The sequence below is a fragment of the Homo sapiens genome, chromosome 9 (genome assembly GCF_000001405.40).
Source record: "Homo sapiens chromosome 9, GRCh38.p14 Primary Assembly".
Lineage (NCBI taxonomy): Eukaryota > Metazoa > Chordata > Mammalia > Primates > Hominidae > Homo > Homo sapiens.
The window spans coordinates 77,307,824-77,329,763 of NC_000009.12; the positions used below are offsets into that span (position 1 = coordinate 77,307,824).

The following is a 21,940-nucleotide window of genomic DNA, read 5'->3' on the forward strand; positions in this document are numbered from 1 at the left end:
TAATTGGTGTGGTAGAGGATTGAAACAGTCTTTCATTTTTCTCCTCTGAGAATTTTAACTGCAGTTAAATTCTGCAATGAAGTAGCAGTGCTAAAAAGAACAAATCTTTTTTTTTTAACAGTTCATTCTTAGTCAAGAAGATATAACAACTATTTTTAAAACATTGCATGGCAATATATGGTATGAAAAAGATGGTAGTGCCTCACCTGCTGTAACAAAAGACCAATACAGTGCCACTAGTGGAGTTACTACTAATGCTTCACACCATTCAGGAGGTATGTTTTTAACTTCAAATTTCTTTCTGCTTTCCTCTTTCTCTCTTTTTTCTTCTATCTTCTTCCCTCCCCTTCCTTCTGTCTTTTCCCTCCTTCCTCCCCTCTTTCTCCCTCCTTTCCTTCTTTCTTTCCTTCTTTTTGTTTAGTTTGGGCAAAATAAGATTTGTAAATCTGTTTCTAATCAGCTAATTCCATTCAGACATCTCTAAATTGTCTATGTTATTAGTCGTTGTGTTGATTTTTTTTCTTTGAATGAAAGTTCCTAGTTCTGTTGTAACAAAATTCCTCAGTATATATTCATGTTTTCCTGACTTCCCTGTAGCTCCTCATTTTCCATTTTTCTCCCTTTCCCCCATCTTCTCCCTATCCCTAGTGTGGCATATATCCCAAATGAATCTTTTATATTGATATTAGGAATATCAAAGTATTAGAGGTGCAAAGAGAGGATGATCATTAGTAGATGGTGGAGTTTAACAAATATTTGGGAGATGGATGGAACAGAGTAGAAGGAAGCAGAACTTAGAAAGAGCCTTCATCTAATGTTGGATCCAGTGTGCTCTGTGGAATGTGGCTGGTTTCTGAGCTCAGCACCAGCGCATACAGAGGGTCAGTTAGTGCTGGGATGACATTGCTGCATAAGCATAAAGTTCTCATTCTGGCATTATAGGGGATCCTCAGACCTACCTACCTCAAAATGAAACCTACTAGTTCACAAGACTCACCTTTGCAAAGCCCTGAGGTGTTACACAGCATTTTTACTCAGGGAGAATCCTAACAGAAAACCAGCTTTACATTTACAGCATTGTAGGAAACCCCACCCTTACTAGCTGGAATAATCAAACTAGTCCTTTATTGTTAAATATGAATGGTCAGATATGAAGAAAATTGTAAAAACCCCAAGCATGAATGAAATTAAGATAAATAGAATCATGTTTTCTGAAGGAAACAGACAATTGAGGTGACAGAAAAGGAAGTAGACAAACAAAAAAGAAGCTCTGACATTCTAAGAGGATTTTGAGAAGATAATATAAGAAATGGATCCCACCACCACCAGCTCACCCAAGGATAGGAGAGTTGCTGGAAATCCAAATATTATTGCTGAAAATTTGAAACAAAAACACTGAACATGTAATTAGAAGTATTGAGTTGGAATATTTGGTTGAGGCAATCTCCCAGGACGGAGAATAAAAAAGCACAGGGATGGAAAATGTGATAAAACTTAAGAGTGATGTTTTAGTTCAGAAGGTCCAATTCCAGAATGAGTGTTACAGAAGAAATAATTGAGGAAATGGAAGGCAATTCTTTAAAGAAGTATAGTACTCTCCTTTTATCTGCAGGGAATATGTTCCAAGACCCGTCGATGCCTGAAACTTTGGGTATTACCAAACCTATGTTTGGATAGTACCCAAACTATATTTTTTCCTATACATACATATGTATCATAAAGATGAATTTATAAATTAGGCACAGTAAGAGTTGAACAACTAATAAAATAGAACAATTATAACAATATACTGTCATAAAAGTTACGTGAATGTGGTCTGTCTCTCCAAGTATCTTAATATTTTCAGACACCAGTTGACCTGACCACAGGTAATTGAAAGTGCAGGTAAGGGTGAGCTGCTGTAAACTGTCCAGACCTAAGTAAATATTGAAGGAAGCTCTTAGCTATAATGAATCTACTGAGTTTCCAGCAGATTGGGTAAACTAAGATTCCACATACAAACACATTTTCATGAGATGTCAGAATGGTAAAGCTAAGATTTTCTGAAGTTTCAGAAAAAAAAAAGGCTGCCTGTCAGGGACTTAGAAAAAAAATGATTGCATGATTGATTTTTGTTGTTTTTTATTTATCATCAATAAAACATGATGAAATAGAATCCCTGGATGGTAGAAGACAATGGAGGAATCTATTCAGAATTCTAAGGAAAGTGGTTTTTGAAGCTCAGATTCTATACACAGCCAAGCCATCACCCAAAATGTGAAAAGAAAATAATTCTCAGATTTCCTGTGACTCAGTTTTCTTAGACTTCTTCATACCCATTCGTAAAAGAAATTAGTTTGAAAGTGTATTTCAGAAAGTCAGGAAATCTAGGAAACAGAAAAATATGGGGTTAAAAAAACCTAGGCCTACTCAGGAGTGCACTGAAAAGGAATCTCCAAATTATCTATGTGAATAGGCTAGAAATTAACTGGCTTTCATTAAAAAGTAAATGAGAATGCTTTAAGGAAAGAAAAAAAAAGCCATATGGAAGAATGTCTTATAGAAGAAAAATAGCATGAATTCCACATAGTATGTAGGATACAGAGTTAGCTATATTATATAACTGATACAGACAGGAAAGTGTTTTCTGCGCTTAAGAAAGAAATTTCTATACCATGGTGCAGAAGTGAAGTGGACTAAATTTTGCATAATTTTGAGCCATTGTTAGAATGTGAGAAGAGAACCTCTTATTTTTCAGAGATGCACTCATCGTGACAGTGTAGCAGCAGAGGCAGTATTACTGTAAATCTCATTGAAAAATACTACATGGTCATAGTTAAACAACACATGGAATACTTCTTATGTAAATAAAAAAGTAAATGTTATGAACTATGATAACTTAGAAGTAAAGACATTACTAACCAAAGCTGTAAAGAGGAAGATGGATCAGGGGAAACAAATAGTAAAGCCTTAAAGAGTGAGAGAAAATGTCTGCAATTGATGTAACAAGAAATAGATGTTTGAATATGTCATTTTAATCGTTTTCTTCTGGAAATTTTTACACATATACCAAAGTAGAAGGAATAAGGTAATGAACCCACATGTACTCATCACCCACTTTCACTAATTTTTTTTTTTTTTGAGACAGAGTCTCGCTATGTCACCCAGGCTGGAGTGTAGTGGTGCAATCTCGGCTACTGCAAGCTCTGCCTCCCGGGTTCACGCCATTCTCCTGCCTCAGCCTCCTGAGTAGCTGGGACTACAGGTGCCCACCACCACACCCAGCTACTTTTTTGTATTTTTAGTAGAGATGGGGTTTCACTGTGTTACCCAGGATGGTCTCGATCTCCTGACCTCGTGATCCCCCTGCCTCGGTCTCCCAAAGTGCTGGGATTACAGGCGTGAGCCACCATGCCTGGCCCACTTTCACTAATTAATATCATATGGCTACTTTGTTACTGCCCACACTCTGCTCTTCCCCCTTCTTCCTCCAGCCCATAAGATTATTTTAAAGCAAATCCCAGATACTATACCATTAATTGCTATTTTTCCATAAGCAATAAGGACATTACTTTTTAAATATAGTAACATCATCACCCTAAATATTAGCAGTGCTTCCTTAAGACCATGAAAATATCCAGTTAGGGTTCATCTTTCTCCTAAATGTCTCATTACAAGGCCTGGTTTTTTTTAAATAATGATAAAAGTGTCAATTCACAAAGAAGATGCAACAATCCTAAATGTGTGTATACCTAATAACAGAACTTTAAAATATATGCAGCAAAATTGACAGAACTAAAGAAGAAAATACACATATACAGAATCATAGTTGGGGATTTGAACACACCACTCTTGGTAAATGATAAGATATGAACAAAAAAATCGGAAAGAATATAGAAGATTTGAACACAGTCAACAAAATTGACATAATTAATGTAATACAATGTTACACTCAGTTGCAGAATACCTTTTTGTTTTTAAACACTTCCTGGAATGTTTACAAAGATGCACCATTTTGTGGACCATTAAATTTTCTGACCACATTGGATTAAATTAGAAGGTAGTAACAATAGGATGTGAAAAAGCTTGAACAATTTCTAAATAACCCATAGATCAAAAAGAAATGACAAGGGAAATTAAGAAGTTGTTTGAACTGAATGATCATGAAAATAAAATATATCAGAATTTGTGGAATGCAACTAAAACAGTGGTGAAAGAAATTTGTAACTGTAGAGTAAGATATTAGAAATGAATAAGTTTTAAAATCAAAGATTAAATCTTCTACCACCAGAAACTAGAAAAAGAATAGGAAATTAAACCCAAAGTAAATGAAAAGAAGACAGTAATAAAAATAATAGAATCCAACAAAAGAAAAACAGAGAAAATGTTTAAATGTATATTTTTTCAAAATTTTAGATTTCTGTTCATTAAAGATACAGTAACAAGATAGGAGAAACCCAAGCCTCAGACTTGATGTATGTATCTTTTATCCAGAGTACATTAGCACTTTTATAAATTAATAGCAACTTTTTAAAAGCAAAATAATGACCAAAAGATTTGGATACTTGAGAGAGGATGCTATGTAAATGGGCAGTGAACACATGAAAACTTGTTCATATAATTTTTTTTTTTTTTCTTTTTTGAGATGGAGTCTCGCTTTGTCACCCAGGCTGGAGTGCAGTGGTGTGGTCTCAGCTCACTGCAAGCTCCGCCTCCCGGGTTCACACCATTCTCCTGCCTCAGCCTCCCAAGTAGCTGGGATTACAGGTGCCCGCCACCATGCCTGGCTAATTTTTTGTACTTTTAGTAGAGACGGGTTAGCCAGGATGGTCTCGATCGCCTGACCTCGTGATCCGCCTGCCTTGGCCTCCCAAAGTGCTGGGATTACAGGTGTGAGCCACCATGCCCAGCCGTTCATATAATTATTTATCAGGAAAACTTCACAGTTCACCAGATGAGATAAGTTGTAGAAGACTGACAACATCAAAGGTTGACAAGAATGTGGAACAGCTGCAATTCTCACATACGACTGATAGGAATGTGAAATAGTATTACCACTTTGGCAAAGAATTTGAAAGTTAATATGTACCTACCTTTAACAGAGCAATTCCAGACCTAGGTATCTACTCCCACCCCACCCCAAAATAAGTGCATATATACACAAAATGACTCATTTAGGAATACGTATAGCAGACTTATTTATAGTAGCCCAAATCTGGAAACAACTCAAATGTTCATCAATAGGAGGATAAACTATTTCATTCCATAGAGTGCATGACTAGCTATAAGAGTGAACTACTTGTACATGCAGCAACATGGTTGAATCTCAGAAACATTATTTTGACTGAAAGAAGCCACACACAAAATAGTACAATCTGTATTACTCCATTTATATGGAATTTAAAAAATATACAAAATTCGTCTATGATGATTGAAATTAGAATGGTAGAGAGGTTGGGAATTGGCTAGCAAGTGTTAAGAGGGAACTTTCTGGAGGGATATAAGTGTTCAGTATCTTAATTGAAGTAGTGACTATGTGGAAATATACACTTATCAAATTTCATCAAATAGTTCATATAAGATACATGTATTTCATTGTATGTAAATTTTTATCACAATTGAAAATACATTACCTGGCATAATGGTACTTTTCTCTGAAGTTAGATATAATGAGAATTAGAAAGTGCTGCGTTTTCATTTTAAGCTCATTTAATATGTGCATATAATGCCTTGATTCAAAATTCAAATGTAGAAAACAAATTTTGAATTCTTCTGATTAGTAGAAAAATTTTAAAAATGTCTCTTGGTTTTAGTTTTTTAAAGTAAAATTTGAATACTGAATTATGTGCCAGTTACTGTAATATGCATTTTACATGTGCTATTTTACTTAATCTCCAAACATACTCAGTGATTAGTTCTATTTTTCCTTGGAACAGAACAGAAGTAGGAACAGAAGCATCAAGAGGAAATAGAAACACCAAGTGTTCAATTAATATTCCCAAATTATTATGGAAAGAGTCCTAAGCCAGAAGTTACTGAGTTTTACATCTGAATTTTCTAATATTTTATTTTCTTGAATGTCATTTTACTATACCTGTTTAATAATTCTATTAAATCTATTTCAAGGGTATTTTAATGAGCTACTTTTCATGATATTTTCTTTTATTAAATAACTTTAATTTTTTCAAGGAGCAACTGTGGTGACAGCTGCTGTGGTAGAAGTACATTCACGTGCCTTACTAGTTAAGACAACACTAAACATAAGCTTCAAAACTGATGATCTCACCATGGTGCTGTATAGTCCAGGTCCTAAACAGGTAAGTCCAGGAAGAAAAGAAAATGTATTTTCACATGTGAAATTTGCATAGGTTGATGTTTTTAAAGTAACAAATGTTAATATTTAACATTTATTTTGTAGTATCTGTCCCTCTGAGAAAAATGATCTTTTTACTTTAATAATAATTATAACTATTTCCCTTTTAAATGAGTTATCTATCATATAGCTAATGTGAAAAATAAATTGTAAAATTAAAGTGATATGTATATATTTTTAGCCTTTCATTAGAGCCCTTCGGAGACAGAATTTTGATGTTTGTTATAAGCAGAGGCAATAATTTGTAGTAGTTCATATCATGAAATACACTTTAGACTTGTGTTTCTTTGTAATTTTGTGTTGGTTTCTCCTTTCATAGGCTTCCTTTACAGATGTTCGTGATCCTTCTCTGAAACTTGCTGAATTTAAATTGGAGAATATTATAAGTACTTTAAAAATGTATACAGATGGCTCAACATTTTCTTCCTTCTCATTAAAAAACTGTATTTTAGATGATAAAAGACCTCATGTCAAGAAAGCAACTCCTCGGTATGTATTGTAATGATGTTCTAAGGTTTTACTTGAGAAATCGTTGATATATTTTACAGAATTCATCTCCAGAATTGCACGTTCATTTTCTGAGTGCATCCTAGGTTCTTTAAAGCTTCAATTCAGTCAGCTCGTAGTACTCGGTTAACATTTAAAATGTCCTGGTTCTGTTATGTACTATTCTTACTGGATAATTGATAGATTGGTTGAGTAACTAGAAATAATCAGTGCAATTAAATTGGTTTTTACATTCTTTAAATTACATTCTCTAATATAAATCTAATATAAGTTATTGTTAATCCATGCTAATTGCAATGGGAAGTACATAAAAAATTGAAAAGAAAAAATATCCTGAGATTCAAACTCTTATAATTTATTGAACATACACTTCCTCATTTATGATACATTTGTGTTCCAGAAGTTTGTAAGTTTGTTATTTGGAACACTTTATGGATCTTCCCAAGAGACATGACTTCAGAATGCTTTTTTTTGTCAGTAAAAGAGATAAGAGGTCTTTGAGTTTTACTCATATGTTTGATTACTTCTAAGTTACTCATACATAGGAATTGTTGTTATTGTGTTTTCCAGAATGATAGGACTGACAGTTGGTTTTGACAAAAAAGACATGATGGATATAAAGTACAGGAAAGTCAGAGATGGTTGTGTGACTGATGCGGTCTTTCAAGAAATGTATATTTGTGCAAGCGTAGAATTTCTGCAGACTGTTGCAAATGTCTTTCTTGAGGCCTACACCACAGGCACTGCTGTAGAAACCAGTGTGCAAACATGGACTGCTAAGGAAGAAGGTTAGTTATTGGCTAAAATATTTAATATTTGTTTTATTGAAGTGCTACAACAGGACTTAACCTTGATTAGCCTTTTAGATCATCAAAGTAAATGCTTTAAGAAATTAAAATTTTATTTTTCAGAGTAGAAGGAAAACCTTAATGTGTTTTCTTGGAGGATGTATAGTTTGCATTTTTTAAAGGTGTCAGTATATATTGCATTTAAAAATTATGAAACCTATGTTAGAATAAGTAATTGTACTTCTCTTCAGGCAGTAATTTGAAGGAATTTGTCTAGTGGAAAAAAACAAGCAGAGCAAATAATGAACCAACCATACCTTTTCACAATTAAGATAATATTTCAATTTAAAGCACTCATTTATTTTTGTTGTATTTATTCCTAGCTTTTAACGTACGGTTTCTCTATTATCTTTTTATAATATGTGATTTACTGTGGTATAGTAGAAAGAGTATCAAGTTGAGAGTTAGAAACTAGATTAGTTTCTAGGCTTTCCAATTAAATAGTGGAGATTTCCCCTCATTTAAAAATGTTCTTATGCCTATAGCTTCTTCAAGTCTTTACTAAGGGTTGTAGTTGATTCCTTTGGGATCTAAGATTCTTTTGTTTTACTTTTTACTATTATTTCATTTTAATATTTTCTTATAAATAATAAATTATTCATAATATATAGCAAATATTTTAATCTATTTTTATTTGTTTTAGTACCTACACAGGAATCAGTGAAGTGGGAAATTAATGTTATTATTAAAAATCCTGAAATTGTGTTTGTAGCTGACATGACAAAAAATGATGCTCCTGCTTTAGTCATTACAACACAATGTGAAATTTGCTATAAAGGTAACCTTGAAAATAGTACAATGACTGCTGCCATTAAAGATCTCCAAGTGAGAGCCTGCCCGTTTCTTCCAGTCAAGAGAAAAGGCAAAATCACTACTGTGAGTTAACTATTTGATCATCTGCTTAATTGTAACTATTTTGGATGTAGTGTATACCATTTTAGGAAACAAAAACTACCTACATGCTTTCCAACCTTGCTCTGTAAAATGTCTTTCTCTCTGCTTAGAGAGCTTAATTTAGAATATTATTTACCAGCTTTGAAACTCTTTCATTCTTCCAGATGCTGCTCATTATTGTTAGTATTTGTGGGAATATTGTCACTAAGAAGTTGGGTTCATCTTGACAGTTTTCAGTTAAGATCTACTTTGACTTTCTAACCATGTCAATTCCAAATTGCTCTTTGGACTTTTAAGACTTTCTGCCAGTTGTTTGCTGTGTTGTTTCAATTTTATTGTTTCAACTTTTTTCTCCCGTTTGGATGTTTTTGCTCAAATAATGAGTTTTTCCTTGTCTCCATGTAACTTCATTTGAACCTTCAGCCATTTGCTTTGACATACTTCACATTGATATTTTACTCTCTAGTAACCTCTTGGCCTTCCTCCTCTTCATAACTCTACTTAAAATTCATTCCTTTACAGACATCTTTTCAAGTTAACTGGCTGACTTCCAGCGAATACTTACAAAAATATTTGAGCTTCTGAAGGAGTAATAGAAGCATAAGTTTTTGTTTGTTTCTTTGTATTTTTTTCCTGATGCTTGGTATGCATCTATAGAAGCATAAATGTTCTAAACATTGTCACCATAGAAATATAAGATGTAATTTTGATACAATGAATACATATATATTAGGATATAAGATAAACTGTTGCCCAAATTTGCAAGACAGTTGGCCCTCCACTAAGCAAAGAGAGAGAATAGAAAATGGAGGGTATACCAATTCTCTCTTAGTTTTTGACTTAGAAGTTTTAAATATATATTTCTTCTATTCACATCTTTTTTGGCTTGAATATAGCTGTATGACCACACTTTACTTCAGTAAAGGTTGGAGACTGTGGTATTTTTTTCTGAGCTACCTTGTGCTCAGATAAAACTTCTATTACTGTGGAAGAATAGAACAGATATTAGGTTCTAGATGTCCTTTATATGGGATAATTAAGGAGTGTATTATTAAGTCACTTTTTAAATAGTTGTTTTTATTAACTTGTTTATTTGACATACCTATTACTAGGAAAGTCTTTAAATAGAAATATTTTTATATTTAAACATTAATTTAGTGGTATTGATTTTTCTCTCATAGGTTTTGCAGCCCTGTGACTTGTTTTATCAAACTACTCAGAAAGGTACAGATCCACAAGTGATCGATATGTCAGTAAAATCCCTGACACTAAAGGTAAATTAAAATATAATCATTTGAATATTTAGTGCACTTAAAAAAAGTAGTAAAGCCTAGAAAGTTATTATAGCAAGTCTTTTAATTGTTATGCAAACAAAATAGGTGTGTTTTTGAAAATACGTTTTTATGAGATATTTACAAAGTAATATTATTTAATACACATTTTATGAATGTTATTCTATATTTTATTATTTACATTTGTGTGGTTAACATCTAATATCCCTAATAAATATTATTGAAATTACTTTATACTTCATCAGTTTAATAATATCTGCAATTCATGTATATTAATAATATCATGTAATTCATGGAATAATATCTGCAAGATTCATGTAAATATCTGCAAGATTCATGTAAACACATAACAAGAATTATGGTAATTTAAAAAATTTTATAAACAATAAATTGTATCTTCTATTTTGTGGTAGTAATGTTAATTCAGTATTTAATTTCTCATAATATATATTTAATATTTCTTGACGTAGTATGTTTGAAAGTGTTTTGTATAGACTTATTAATTTTTTTCCATTTAGGTTTCACCAGTTATTATAAATACTATGATTACCATAACTTCAGCACTGTATACAACTAAGGAAACCATCCCAGAAGAAACGGCTTCTTCTACTGCACATTTATGGGAAAAGAAGGATACAAAGACTTTAAAAATGTGGTTTCTTGAAGAATCAAATGAAACTGAAAAAATAGCTCCCACAACTGAATTGGTACCCAAAGGCGAGATGATAAAAATGAACATTGATTCTATTTTTATAGTTCTTGAGGCTGGAATTGGTCATAGAACAGTACCTATGCTTCTGGCAAAGTCACGTTTTTCAGGGGAAGGCAAAAACTGGAGTTCCCTAATAAATCTGCACTGTCAGCTTGAGCTAGAAGTAAGCATATTTTTCCAGTTTTATAACAGATAATGATACGTATGGAATATTATGACAGATAATGATACATATGGAATATTATGGAATCTTGTGTAGCTATTTAAGCTTATTGTAAATATGATATTGGGTCAAAAACTTTTAGAAAAAAGTTTTCAAATTTTGCCCTTGAATAATTGCTTTTATGTATACATTCCTTTTACTTTTAAAGTACATGTCCACATTAAGTTTATATTTCAACTGATTTTATCAACTTAAAGATAATATATTATTCGACAGTTGTTGATTAGATTCAGAATATTTTTTTTAAAGAGTTAAATTGAGGCCAGGCCCAGTGGCTCACCTGTAATCCCAGCACGTTGGGAGGCCAAAGCAGAAGGATCGCTTGAGCCCAGGAGTTCAAGATCAGCCTGGGCAACATGGTGAAACCTTGTCTCTACTAAAAATACAAAAAATTAGCCAGTGGTGGTGGCTCACACCTGTAGTCTTAGTTATTCGAGAGACTGAGGTGGACGATCACTTGAGAATACCTGGGAAGTCGAGGCTGTGGTGAGCTGAGATCTTACCACTGCACTCCAGCCTGGGGTTCAAAGTGAGACCCAGACTCAAAAAAAAAAAAAAGAAAAGAAAAGAGTTAAAGTTGAATACCCTTTTTTTTTTAAGGATATAGACAGAATTTCTGAATATGTGGATAATAATCTCTTCTAATAGAAATATGAAGAATTAGAAATATATGCCTTATACTTTTATGTAATGTAGAATCAAGGAAAGATGCTTAAAAAGGGGTTTTATCTGGACTAAATTGTGAAGAGCGAATATGTACTATGAAGTTAGCCAGGTGAGGAAAATGCTGAGGGAGTGCTTATAGGAAGCTACTGAATGGCATGTAGACTGGTTTTTATATAGAAGAAATAACAGGGCTAAAAAACATGGTGGGAAACAGGATGGAAGATCATTTTTAATTTAAAAAATTCTCTCTGTAGGTGCATTATTATAATGAAATGTTTGGTGTATGGGAGCCTTTGCTTGAACCCTTAGAAATTGATCAGACTGAGGATTTTAGACCATGGAATCTTGGTATCAAGGTATATCTATATATGTCTATGTGTGTATATATATATATATGTATTTTAAAAGACTTTATTTTTTTAAGAACAGATTTAGGTTCACAGCAAAATTGAGAAGAAGGAACAGAGATTTCCCGTATACCACCTACTTCTGCACATGTATAGCCTCCCCCTTTATTAACATTCCCTCATCAACGTATATTTGAAGACTGAAAAAATTTTCCAAAATTGAGAATGTTTATACCACACTCGACACTTTATTTTAATCACAACAAGGTTCAGGTTGTCTCATCATGAGCCTTGCCCACATGCTTCCTTGTTTGCCCTCTGAATATAATTTTCAAATCTAAGGCCAATGTTGCCTATGCTTCTAATACAATTATGTAACAAGTATTATGTTACTTGTTACATAATTTAGAACAATTTAGAACATAATTTAGAACACAGTTTAGACATTGTTCTAAATATTTTAATCCTTACAACAACTCTTGGAGGTAGATACAGTTTTTATTTAACATGTGAAGGGACTGAGACCAGGGAGGTTAAGAGACTTCTTGAAGTAATAATAGCTACAAAGTGGAAAAGATGGGATGCAAATCCAGCTGCAGAGGCGTTAAATCCACTCTAAACCACTATGCTATAATGCCTGTGTCATCATCTTGTAGGTTGTTGTCTATCCTGAGTTTCCTTCATCCTTTGGATGTTTGCATGTGTGCAGGAATGTATATTATTTGTTTGAAATATATTGTGGATTTATATAATCATGAGAATCGGGGCCTTTAGGTGGATGAAATTTTGCTTCTGAAGCAAGAGACTGCAGAATTACTCACGTGTTTCCTACCTAATAATGACTTGGTCAACCTGCAGACAGATTTTCAGTGGCTTAAAGCCAGTTAAAGTAACAACAGAGGTGACTAGCTTAGCATGTTGAGCTCTTTTCATATTAGATCACTTAATTTTATTTTCCAGATATTTTAGATGAAGGATATGAAAAGGAATTCCTTGGTGGTTTTTAGGTTAGAATACACATGGTCAGCAGATCTGTGACTCCTAAAAAATGGTAAAGGGTATTGATTCTTATGAGCTCTAGGTTTATAACACTGTTCTGCTACTATTGTCTGCCTTTGTAAGTCTCTAGGTTTCTGTTCTTTATTATTAGCATGACCAATACATTAAGTTACTTTTTTCTGTCTGAGTTTTTATGTTGCTTTGAAGTATGTGCTTTTATATTCAGATCCCGGGTACACATAGTAATTTTAGGTTTTTATTTTTCCTTCTAAATTGTGTCTGCCATTTTACTATCACTGATGATGACATGATTTATTTTCTCTAATACTTCTGTCCTTTATGACCTTAGTTGGCTGATGTCCAAGTAATTTCAATAAGGCAATAGAACTTACTGAAATTAGAAAAGATAAAATGTACTGACCTTTCTAATGTTGGTATTGGGATTTGTCTAGTTATGTTGTGTTCTTAGAATTTTTCCTTATATTTCTATGATTTATCATTTTAGATGAAAAAGAAAGCAAAAATGGCCATTGTTGAGTCAGATCCTGAAGAAGAAAACTACAAAGTGCCAGAATATAAAACTGTCATCAGTTTCCATTCAAAAGACCAATTAAACATTACATTATCCAAATGTGGTCTTGTAATGTTAAACAATTTAGTCAAGGTAAGAAAAGAAATTTGAAACTTTAAATATTGAGATACTTGTCTGATTGATCTGTCTGTTGAATAAGAAGTTTAATAACTTAGTTGTCATTTGTCCTTTACTGTTCTCCTTGTCATTTAATTTTACACATTTCATTTTATTTAGCATAACTCTTTCTTATTAGGCATTTACAGAAGCTGCCACTGGATCTTCAGCTGACTTCGTAAAGGATCTAGCACCATTTATGATTTTAAATTCCCTTGGACTTACTATTTCTGTTTCGCCAAGTGATTCTTTTAGTGTACTCAACATTCCTATGGCAAAATCATATGTATTGAAAAATGGAGAAAGTTTAAGTATGGATTATATCCGAACCAAGGACAATGATCATTTCAATGCAATGACCAGCCTAAGCAGCAAACTCTTCTTCATTCTTCTTAGTAAGTAGTTGAAAAATTACCTTCCTGGGGCTATTTTGTTTTAAATTACAATTTACATGTTATTTTACTCTTTTGTAGAATCTTAGCAAGGTTTTTTTTGTTTTTGTTTTTGTTTTTTTAAAATATCCTTTCTAATAGGTCAAGAACTGTTTTTTGTCTTTGCAGTGTCTTGGTTACTATTGTTACTAAAACTTTGTATTCCAAACTCTTTCTTTATCCTCTGCATTATTTAGAGCATGGCAATTTACTGCTTTGTTGTTGGGAGGAAAAATATTAGATCTCGCCCTCATTCTGCTTTTATAGACCGTGGATGTTTAGATGTTTGTGGGGGTTCTTTTATTCACATTTGGTATCCGTTGATAGTATTCCACCAGTTTTGCAACTGAAAGAATTCTAAGTGTGAATTCATGCAGATGGCAATTTTTAATGGCTTTAGGATTTATAAATGGTTTTTTTTTTTTTATGTTCTGCCTGTTGAGATGAAGGTTTTTTCCTTTGTCTTTTCTGCTTCCCAAAAGTTTTTCATTTTTATTGGAGGTGAAATATATACATTCTTAAAGTATCATAATATGTAGTCATTGTGAAGTTAAATAGTCCCAGAGCCTCACCTACACCACTTTTTGATACTCTGGCATTTAAGTAATTATTGAGGAGGGCATCATTTAAAAGATTAATTAGACATAGGGGGGTAGGCTACTAAAATAGCTTGTGTTTCTAGTTAGAAAATAACATGTAACAGGTGTTTCAGGTGTTGTCATAGCGTTGTAATTAATGTTCTTATAAATTTTACGTCTTTTTTTTTAACATTTTTATGGATGGGATGGTAAATGAAATTTATGCAAGTAAGTAATTTTATCCCCAATACAACATGTGTTTTAGGTAAATATATATAAAATTTTATTTAATCAAGTCCAAGATATAAAGGAAAAGTGACACAAGTTGTTGGAAAAATTAAAAACAAAAATTGTAGTCACCTTGATATTTACCAATGTCTACCAAAAGGTATTATGCTCTGGTTATTCTGACAGCAAACCAGAGATCAGTATTCTTGTATTTTATAGTACTTGCTCTCATTACTCATTTTTGAAACGTTTGCTATTGTTGTCTTGGGTTAAACTCCTGAATGGGAGTTTTTTAATTAATGCTGTGGAAATATATGCTGGCTTCTTAAAATATCCCTTTTATGGACTATATCCAAAGACTCTAGTGACTATTATTTATAAGTTTAAGAATCATCTGAAATTTCTAATATGTAACATATGTAAAATTAATATGTAATGAATTATAATAAAAACTTTTAAACATACTTACTTAATTTAGCACCTGTTAACCATTCTACTGCTGATAAGATTCCTTTAACAAAAGTGGGACGACGTCTGTACACTGTAAGACACAGAGAGTCTGGCGTTGAAAGATCTATTGTTTGTCAAATTGATACAGTAGAAGGAAGTAAGAAGGTCACAATTCGCTCCCCAGTGCAGGTATGAAATGATCAATTTTGGGGGATGTCCTGTTATGCATATCTGTGTGCTAATAAAATTAAAAACAACAACAACAAATTATTACTGAAAGAATATAAACCGTAACAGTAATACAGCTGATATCAAAAAGAAGACTCACTACCACCAGTTGCGCTACTTGGTTATGACGGGTGGTAGGAATTTGTTCAATATACTTCTTATAATTTTTTAATAGGAATATTTTGTAAAATCTTCTTACGGTATTTTTTATAAATAGTCATCAGTGTTTTGCTTTAGGTCTTTGTAATGTATTTATATCCTTTCTATTTGATTAGATAATTTTTAGAGAAATAAAAAAATTTTACAGCTTTATTGAGGTATGTACAATAAACTGCATATATTTAAAGTTGATGACTTTTGACACAAAAATGCACCTTTGAAACTGTCATCACAGTCACGGTAATGAACATATTTATTTCTTAGAAAAATTTTCTGTTTCCCCACTTTCCCATTCCCAGGCATCCACTGATCTGTCCTCATTGTACATTAGTTATATGGCCTAGGATTTTACATAAGTGGAATACAGTACAGATGGAGTTTGACTTTCATTCAGAAAAATTTTGTATGTATGTGTCAACTTATGTGTATCCATGTTATTACATGCAGTTACTTGTTGTTGCTCAGTAGTAATCTATTATATGTATATGCCGCATAGCCATTTTGAGTGAACCTTTGTATACAGTGTGAAGTTAAGAATTGAGGTTTTGCTTTTTTTTTCACCATATGGATTTTTTTTCCAGAGGATTTTAGGTCCTTCTCATTTTTATATAAATTTGAGAATCAGATTATCAATTTTATAAAAAATCTGGATAAAATTGGCTTGTCCTTTAATTTTTAAATTCTGATTACTCATTGATAGTATTTAGAAATACAGGTTATATTAACCTCTACTTGCAGATTTAACTAGACTTACATATTCTAGTAGATTTGTGTAGATTTAGATAGTTATGATAGCTGCAAATGAAGACATTTTTACTTTTTCTTTTTCAATCTGGATGTGTTTTATTTTATCTTGTTTATATTGCCTATCACACTGGCTAGAATACAATTCGAGTAGAAGTGGTGAGAGCATGTTTTTGCCTTGTCCATTCTTTCACCTTTAAACATGATTTGTGTTGTTTTGTAGATGCCTTTTCTTAGGTTGTAAACGTTCCCTTCTATTCCTAGTGTGCTGAGAGTTTTTATCAGAGTTGATTTTGGATTTTGTCAGATGCTTTTTCTGTACAAGAGGAGGATATATTTTTTAATTTGTTAGTATGATGAATTACATTCACTGATTCTTTTTAAATATTAGATCAACCTTGCATTCCTAGGATTAATCTCACATAATCATGACGTCTTACTAACCTTTTAGTATATTGTTGGATTTTGCATTTATATTCATGAGGGATATTGGTCTAGAGTTTCAATGTCTGTCTTTCTGTCTTTCTTTTCTTGAATCTTGCTCTGTGTCCAGGCTGGAGGGCAGTGGTGCCATCATGGCTCACTGGAGCCGCATCTCCTGGGTTTAAGCAATCCTCCTATCTCAACCTCCCGAGCAGCAAGGACTGTAGGTGCACACCACCACACCTATTCTCCCATCTTGCTCCGCCTCTCATTGTTTAACTTTTTAACTCATTAAAGCAGCAGTACCCAACCTTTTTGACACCAGGGACCTGTTTCATGGAAGACAATTTTTCCACGGGTGGGGGGCTGGGGCATATAGTCTCAGGATTCCTTTCTTAGGAATAGAAAGCTCCACCCATGTGTGTTCCCATCCCCTGCAGGGACACCAAGTTAACAACTATCTACACAGAAAAAACACCTTCATAAGAACCAAAAATCAGGCAAGTACTCACAGTACCTGGATTTAACCACAGATCATCAGGCATTAGTTAAATTCTCATAAGGAGCATGCAACCTAGATCCCTTGCATGCGCAGTTCACGCTCCTATGAGAATCTAATGCTCTGGCTGATCTGACAGGAGGCAGAGCTCAGGTGGTAATGCTCTCAAGCCTGCTGCTTGCTTCCTGCCGTGCAGCCCACTTCTTAACAGGCCACAGACCGGTACAGCCCATGGCTCAAGGGCTGGGGACCCATGCATTAAAGTATATTTAACGTGGGGTTTCTGTAGCCACCATGTAGTTAGACCTTGTTTTTTTTTTTTTTTTTTAACATAATCTGAAAATCTGTGCCTTTTAACAGGGATAATTAAACCACTTATATTTAAAGTTGTTGTTGATATGGTTGGGCTTAAACTTGCTATTTTTTTTTTCTATTTGTCTCATTTGTTCTTTGCTTCCATCTTCCCTTTGTTTTCTCTTTTTTTTTATTAATTGAGCATTTTTGTTATGGATTCATTTTATTTCCTTGTTGGCTTATTGGCTGTATCTCTTTATACTTCCTTGTCTTTTTGTTGTTGTTGTTGATACTTTAGGGCTTTATTACATACATATTGTATTAGTCTACCTTCAAGTAGTATTTTGCCCCTTCACATACAGAATCAAAACTTTAGACCAGTATACTTCCACTTCTCATCTCCCACATTCGTATAATTATGTTCATACATTTTTGTGTCTATGTATGCTAGCCACCCCATAATACAAGTTACTATTTTTCTTAAATGAATTATTTATGTTTTAAATAGGTTTAAAATACAAACTGTATTTGATATTTATTATCACTTTTTCTTCTTTCAGTAATCTCACAGTGTGGATCTGCTGGTGATGAATTCTTTCAGTTTTTTCACATATATGTATTACAGATATTTTCACTGGGCATAGAAATCTAGATTGGCAGGGTTTTTCCCCCCATACTTTAAAAATGTTGTTCTGCTGTCTGCTGTATTGCATTGTTTCTGATCAGAAGTCTGCTTTTTTTCCTATATTTGCTTTTCTACAAAATGTGTCAATCTTTTCTTCAGCAGCTTTTGAGATTTTTTTTCTTTATCATTGGTTTTGAGCAATTTGGTTATGATGAATCTTACTGTAGTTTTTTTTATGTTCCTTGTATTTGGGGTTTACTGACCTTAAAAATGTGGATTTATAGTTTTGATCAACTTTAGAAAACTTTTTGCCATTGTTTCTAAAATTTTTTCTGTCTTTGCCCTCTCTTCTCTCCTTTAGGTACCAGTTAGATATACGTTAGGGTGTTTGAACTTGCCCCACAGCTCAGTAATGCTCTGTTCATTTTTACTTTTAGCTTTTTCCTCGTTTCTTTTTTCATAGTTTCTCTTGCTGTGTCTTCAATTTCCCTTCTCTTTTTCAGTGGCCAATCTGCTATTGACCCCATCTGATATATTTTTCTCAATAGTAGTCTGGATTTTTTTGTTTTTTTATTTTCCATTGTCTCTTTTTAACATCCTTAGTCTTCTAACTTTTTAGTGATATTGGATATAATTTTAATAAATGTTTTAATGTCCTTGTCTACCAATTCTATTACATGTCATTTCTGGTTTGTTTTATTGATGTTTCTTTTCATTATGGTAATTTTTTCATTCCTTTAATGTACCTGATAATTTTTTATTGGTTACCTAAAACTACTGTATATATCAGAACCAGACTTCATTCTTCCTGTTTCTTTTAGACGGATCTTTACTGAGCCTTAGATAATCTACACATGTCCTGATCATTACTCAGCTGAAGTTTTGACAGGGAGGGGACACTCAGTTTTCCAGAATTCTGTCCGTACAGCTCTTGCCTCTCCATGCAGGTCTCTCCCCTCAAGTACAACATGCTGTGAATTTCAGTCACGTTGGCTTCCCCAGATTTTCAGATCTTGTCTCTTCAACTTGGCTGCCTGCTCCTCACACAGCAGACTAGAAACTCACTCTCCAGACAGCAAGCTGGGTAGTCATAGGGCTTATGTAGTTTTTTTGTTTTTGTTTTTCCCTTGTGCCGCCTCTTGCCCCGTATCGGAAACTGTGGTTTGATGTTTGTTGTTTTTCTTCCTGCTTTTTAGTTGATTAGGGTGGGAAGCTATATCTGGTCCCCGTTATTCTAGCATGGCTGAAAACAGATATCCCTTCTCTTTCACTTTTTATTTAGTTAACTATTTTAAAAGGTGACTAACAGCTGCACTCATTACTGCTGATTATTTTGCCATTTAAATAGTTGAACATGAATTTTGAATTTCTTACAGGTACTATGTGTAGAAATATTTCTGTTGCTTCAAATGTATAGAGCAAATAGTTTTTCTAGAATTAAAAATATAGTACAGTTAAGATTATTCATTTATGAAATTCTTAGTTCTCATGTTTTATATGCTGCTATGAAGTTTTTAAAGTAGATTTTGGTAAGATATAGAAAGATTATAAGATAATTGTTTTACTAAACAACTTGTTATTATCTATTCCAAAGATAAATATGAGTATTTGGAGGTTTTCTGATATTATTATTATTATTATTATATATTAATCAGAATAATACATTTTTGCCTGACCATTATTTGCTACTTACTGGATGAGATAATCTTCATACTTTTCTCTCTAAAGAAAATTGCAACAATTCAGTCACCTCTTCAGGCTCCAATTCTAATTCTAGTTCTCTTGCTATATCCACCATATCTGCAGTGACTTGCTCCATTGAAGTCCTGAATTCCTCAAAGTCGTCCATGAGGGTTGGAACCAGCTGTTAATTTTGATATTTTGACCTGTTCTCATGTATCACAAATGTTATTAATGGCGTCTAGATGATGAATCCTTTCCAGAAGGTTTTCAATTTACTTTGCCCAGATCCATCAGAGGAATCACTATCTATGGGAGCTGTTGCCTTAAAAAATGTATTTCTTAAATAATGAGACTAATATTATTTAAGTCAAATATACAATGTTACATATAATATTAAGAAGTTGAAATTACTCCTTGATCAATTTGCTACAGAATAGATGTTGTGTTAGCAGGCATGAAAGCAACATTAAGCTCCTGTACATCTCCATCAGAACTCCAGTGACAATGTGCATGGCCAATGAGCAGTAGCATTTTGAAAGGATTTTTTTTCCCTGAGAATAGGTCTCAGTAGTGGGCTTTAAAAATTCAGTGAACCATGCTGTAAACAGATGTGCTTTCAAAGTCAGTCTTTGTTTTTCCATTTATAGAGCACAGAGTAGAGTTAGCATATTCTTAAAGGCCCTGGGATTTTCATAATGGTAAAAGAACATTGGCTAACTTCAGGTCACTAGCTTCATTATCCCTTTAAGAAGAGATTCAGACTGTCCTTCGAAGCTTTGAAGCTAAGCATTGACTTCCCTTCTCTAGCTATGAGAGTCCTAAATGTCATCTTCTTGCAACAGAAGGCTGTTTTGTCTAGTTTGGAAATCTGTTGTTTAGTGTAGCCATCTTCATCAATGATCTTAGCTAGACCTTCTGGATAACTTGCTGCAGCCACTTGCCACTTCATCTTGCACTTGTGTGTTATGCAGGTGGTTTCTTCCCTTAAACCTCGTGAACAAACGTCTGCTTCCAACTTTTTTTCTGCAACTTGCTCATGTCTCTCAGCCTTCATACAATTGAAGAGAGTTAGGGCCTATCTTAGGAGAATGTTATAGCTGGTTTGATCTTCTATCCTGTATTAGGCCGTTTTCATACTGCTGTAAAGAACTGCCCAGGACTTAGTAATTTATAAAGGAAAGAGGTTTAATTAACTCATAGTGCAGCATGGCTGGAGAGACCTCAGGAAACTTACAATCATGGCAGAAGGCAAATGGGAAGCAAGGCACTTTCTTCACAAGGCAGCAGGAAGGAGAAGTGAATGCAGGAAGAACTACCACACACTTACAAGACCATCAGATCTCGTGAGAACTCATTCACCATCACGAGAACAGCATGCAGGAAACTGTCCCCATGATCCAGTTACCTCCACCTGGTTTCTCCCTTGACACATGGGGATTGTGGGGATTACAATTCAAGATGAGATTTGGGTGGGGGACCTAGCCAAACTGTATCATATCCAGACCACTAGAGTATTCTTCCTGTCAGCAATAAGGCTGTTTCACTTTCTTATCATTTGTGTGTTCACTGGGTTAGGACTTTTAATTTTATTCAAAAACTTTTCCTTTGCATTCACAACTTGGCTGTTTGATGCAAGAGGCCTACCTTTTAGCCTATCTCTGGTTTTGACATGCACTTCTTAACATTAATCATTTCTAGCTTTTGCTTTTGATTTAAAAGTGACAGACATGTGCCTCTTCTTTTTATTTGAAAGAGGCCATTGGAGGGTTATTAATTGTCCTAATTTCAGTATTGTTGTGTTTCAGAGAATAGGGAGGTCCGAAGAAGAGGGAGAAAGTGGGGAGAATGTCCAATTTGTGGAGCAGTGAGAACACACACATTTATTGATTATAACACATATAGTTAAAATGAAAAGATTGAAATATTGTGAGAGTTACCAAAATATGACAGTGAGGCACTTAGTGAGCACATGCTGTTAGAAAAATGGCACCAATAGACTTGCTTGATGCAGGGTTGCCACAAACCTTTAATTTGTAAAAAATGAAATATCTGCAATTCACAATAAAGCAA

General features: G+C 33.6%; 1 protein-coding gene across 4 annotated transcripts in view; it reads left to right on the top strand.

Annotated features, from left to right (window-relative positions):
* VPS13A (vacuolar protein sorting 13 homolog A) overlaps positions 1-21,940 on the top strand; it is a 244,004-nt gene that overhangs the window by 130,290 nt on the left and 91,774 nt on the right. For all 4 annotated transcript variants that reach the window (NM_033305.3, NM_001018037.2, NM_015186.4 and 1 more), the window contains 11 exons: positions 122-275; positions 6,169-6,296; positions 6,672-6,841; positions 7,430-7,647; positions 8,351-8,583; positions 9,783-9,875; positions 10,412-10,768; positions 11,749-11,850; positions 13,346-13,504; positions 13,668-13,923; positions 15,244-15,404. In NM_033305.3, the coding sequence (NP_150648.2) occupies positions 122-275; positions 6,169-6,296; positions 6,672-6,841; positions 7,430-7,647; positions 8,351-8,583; positions 9,783-9,875; positions 10,412-10,768; positions 11,749-11,850; positions 13,346-13,504; positions 13,668-13,923; positions 15,244-15,404 (2,031 nt within the window). The remainder of the gene's footprint in view (positions 1-121; positions 276-6,168; positions 6,297-6,671; positions 6,842-7,429; positions 7,648-8,350; positions 8,584-9,782; positions 9,876-10,411; positions 10,769-11,748; positions 11,851-13,345; positions 13,505-13,667; positions 13,924-15,243; positions 15,405-21,940) is intronic.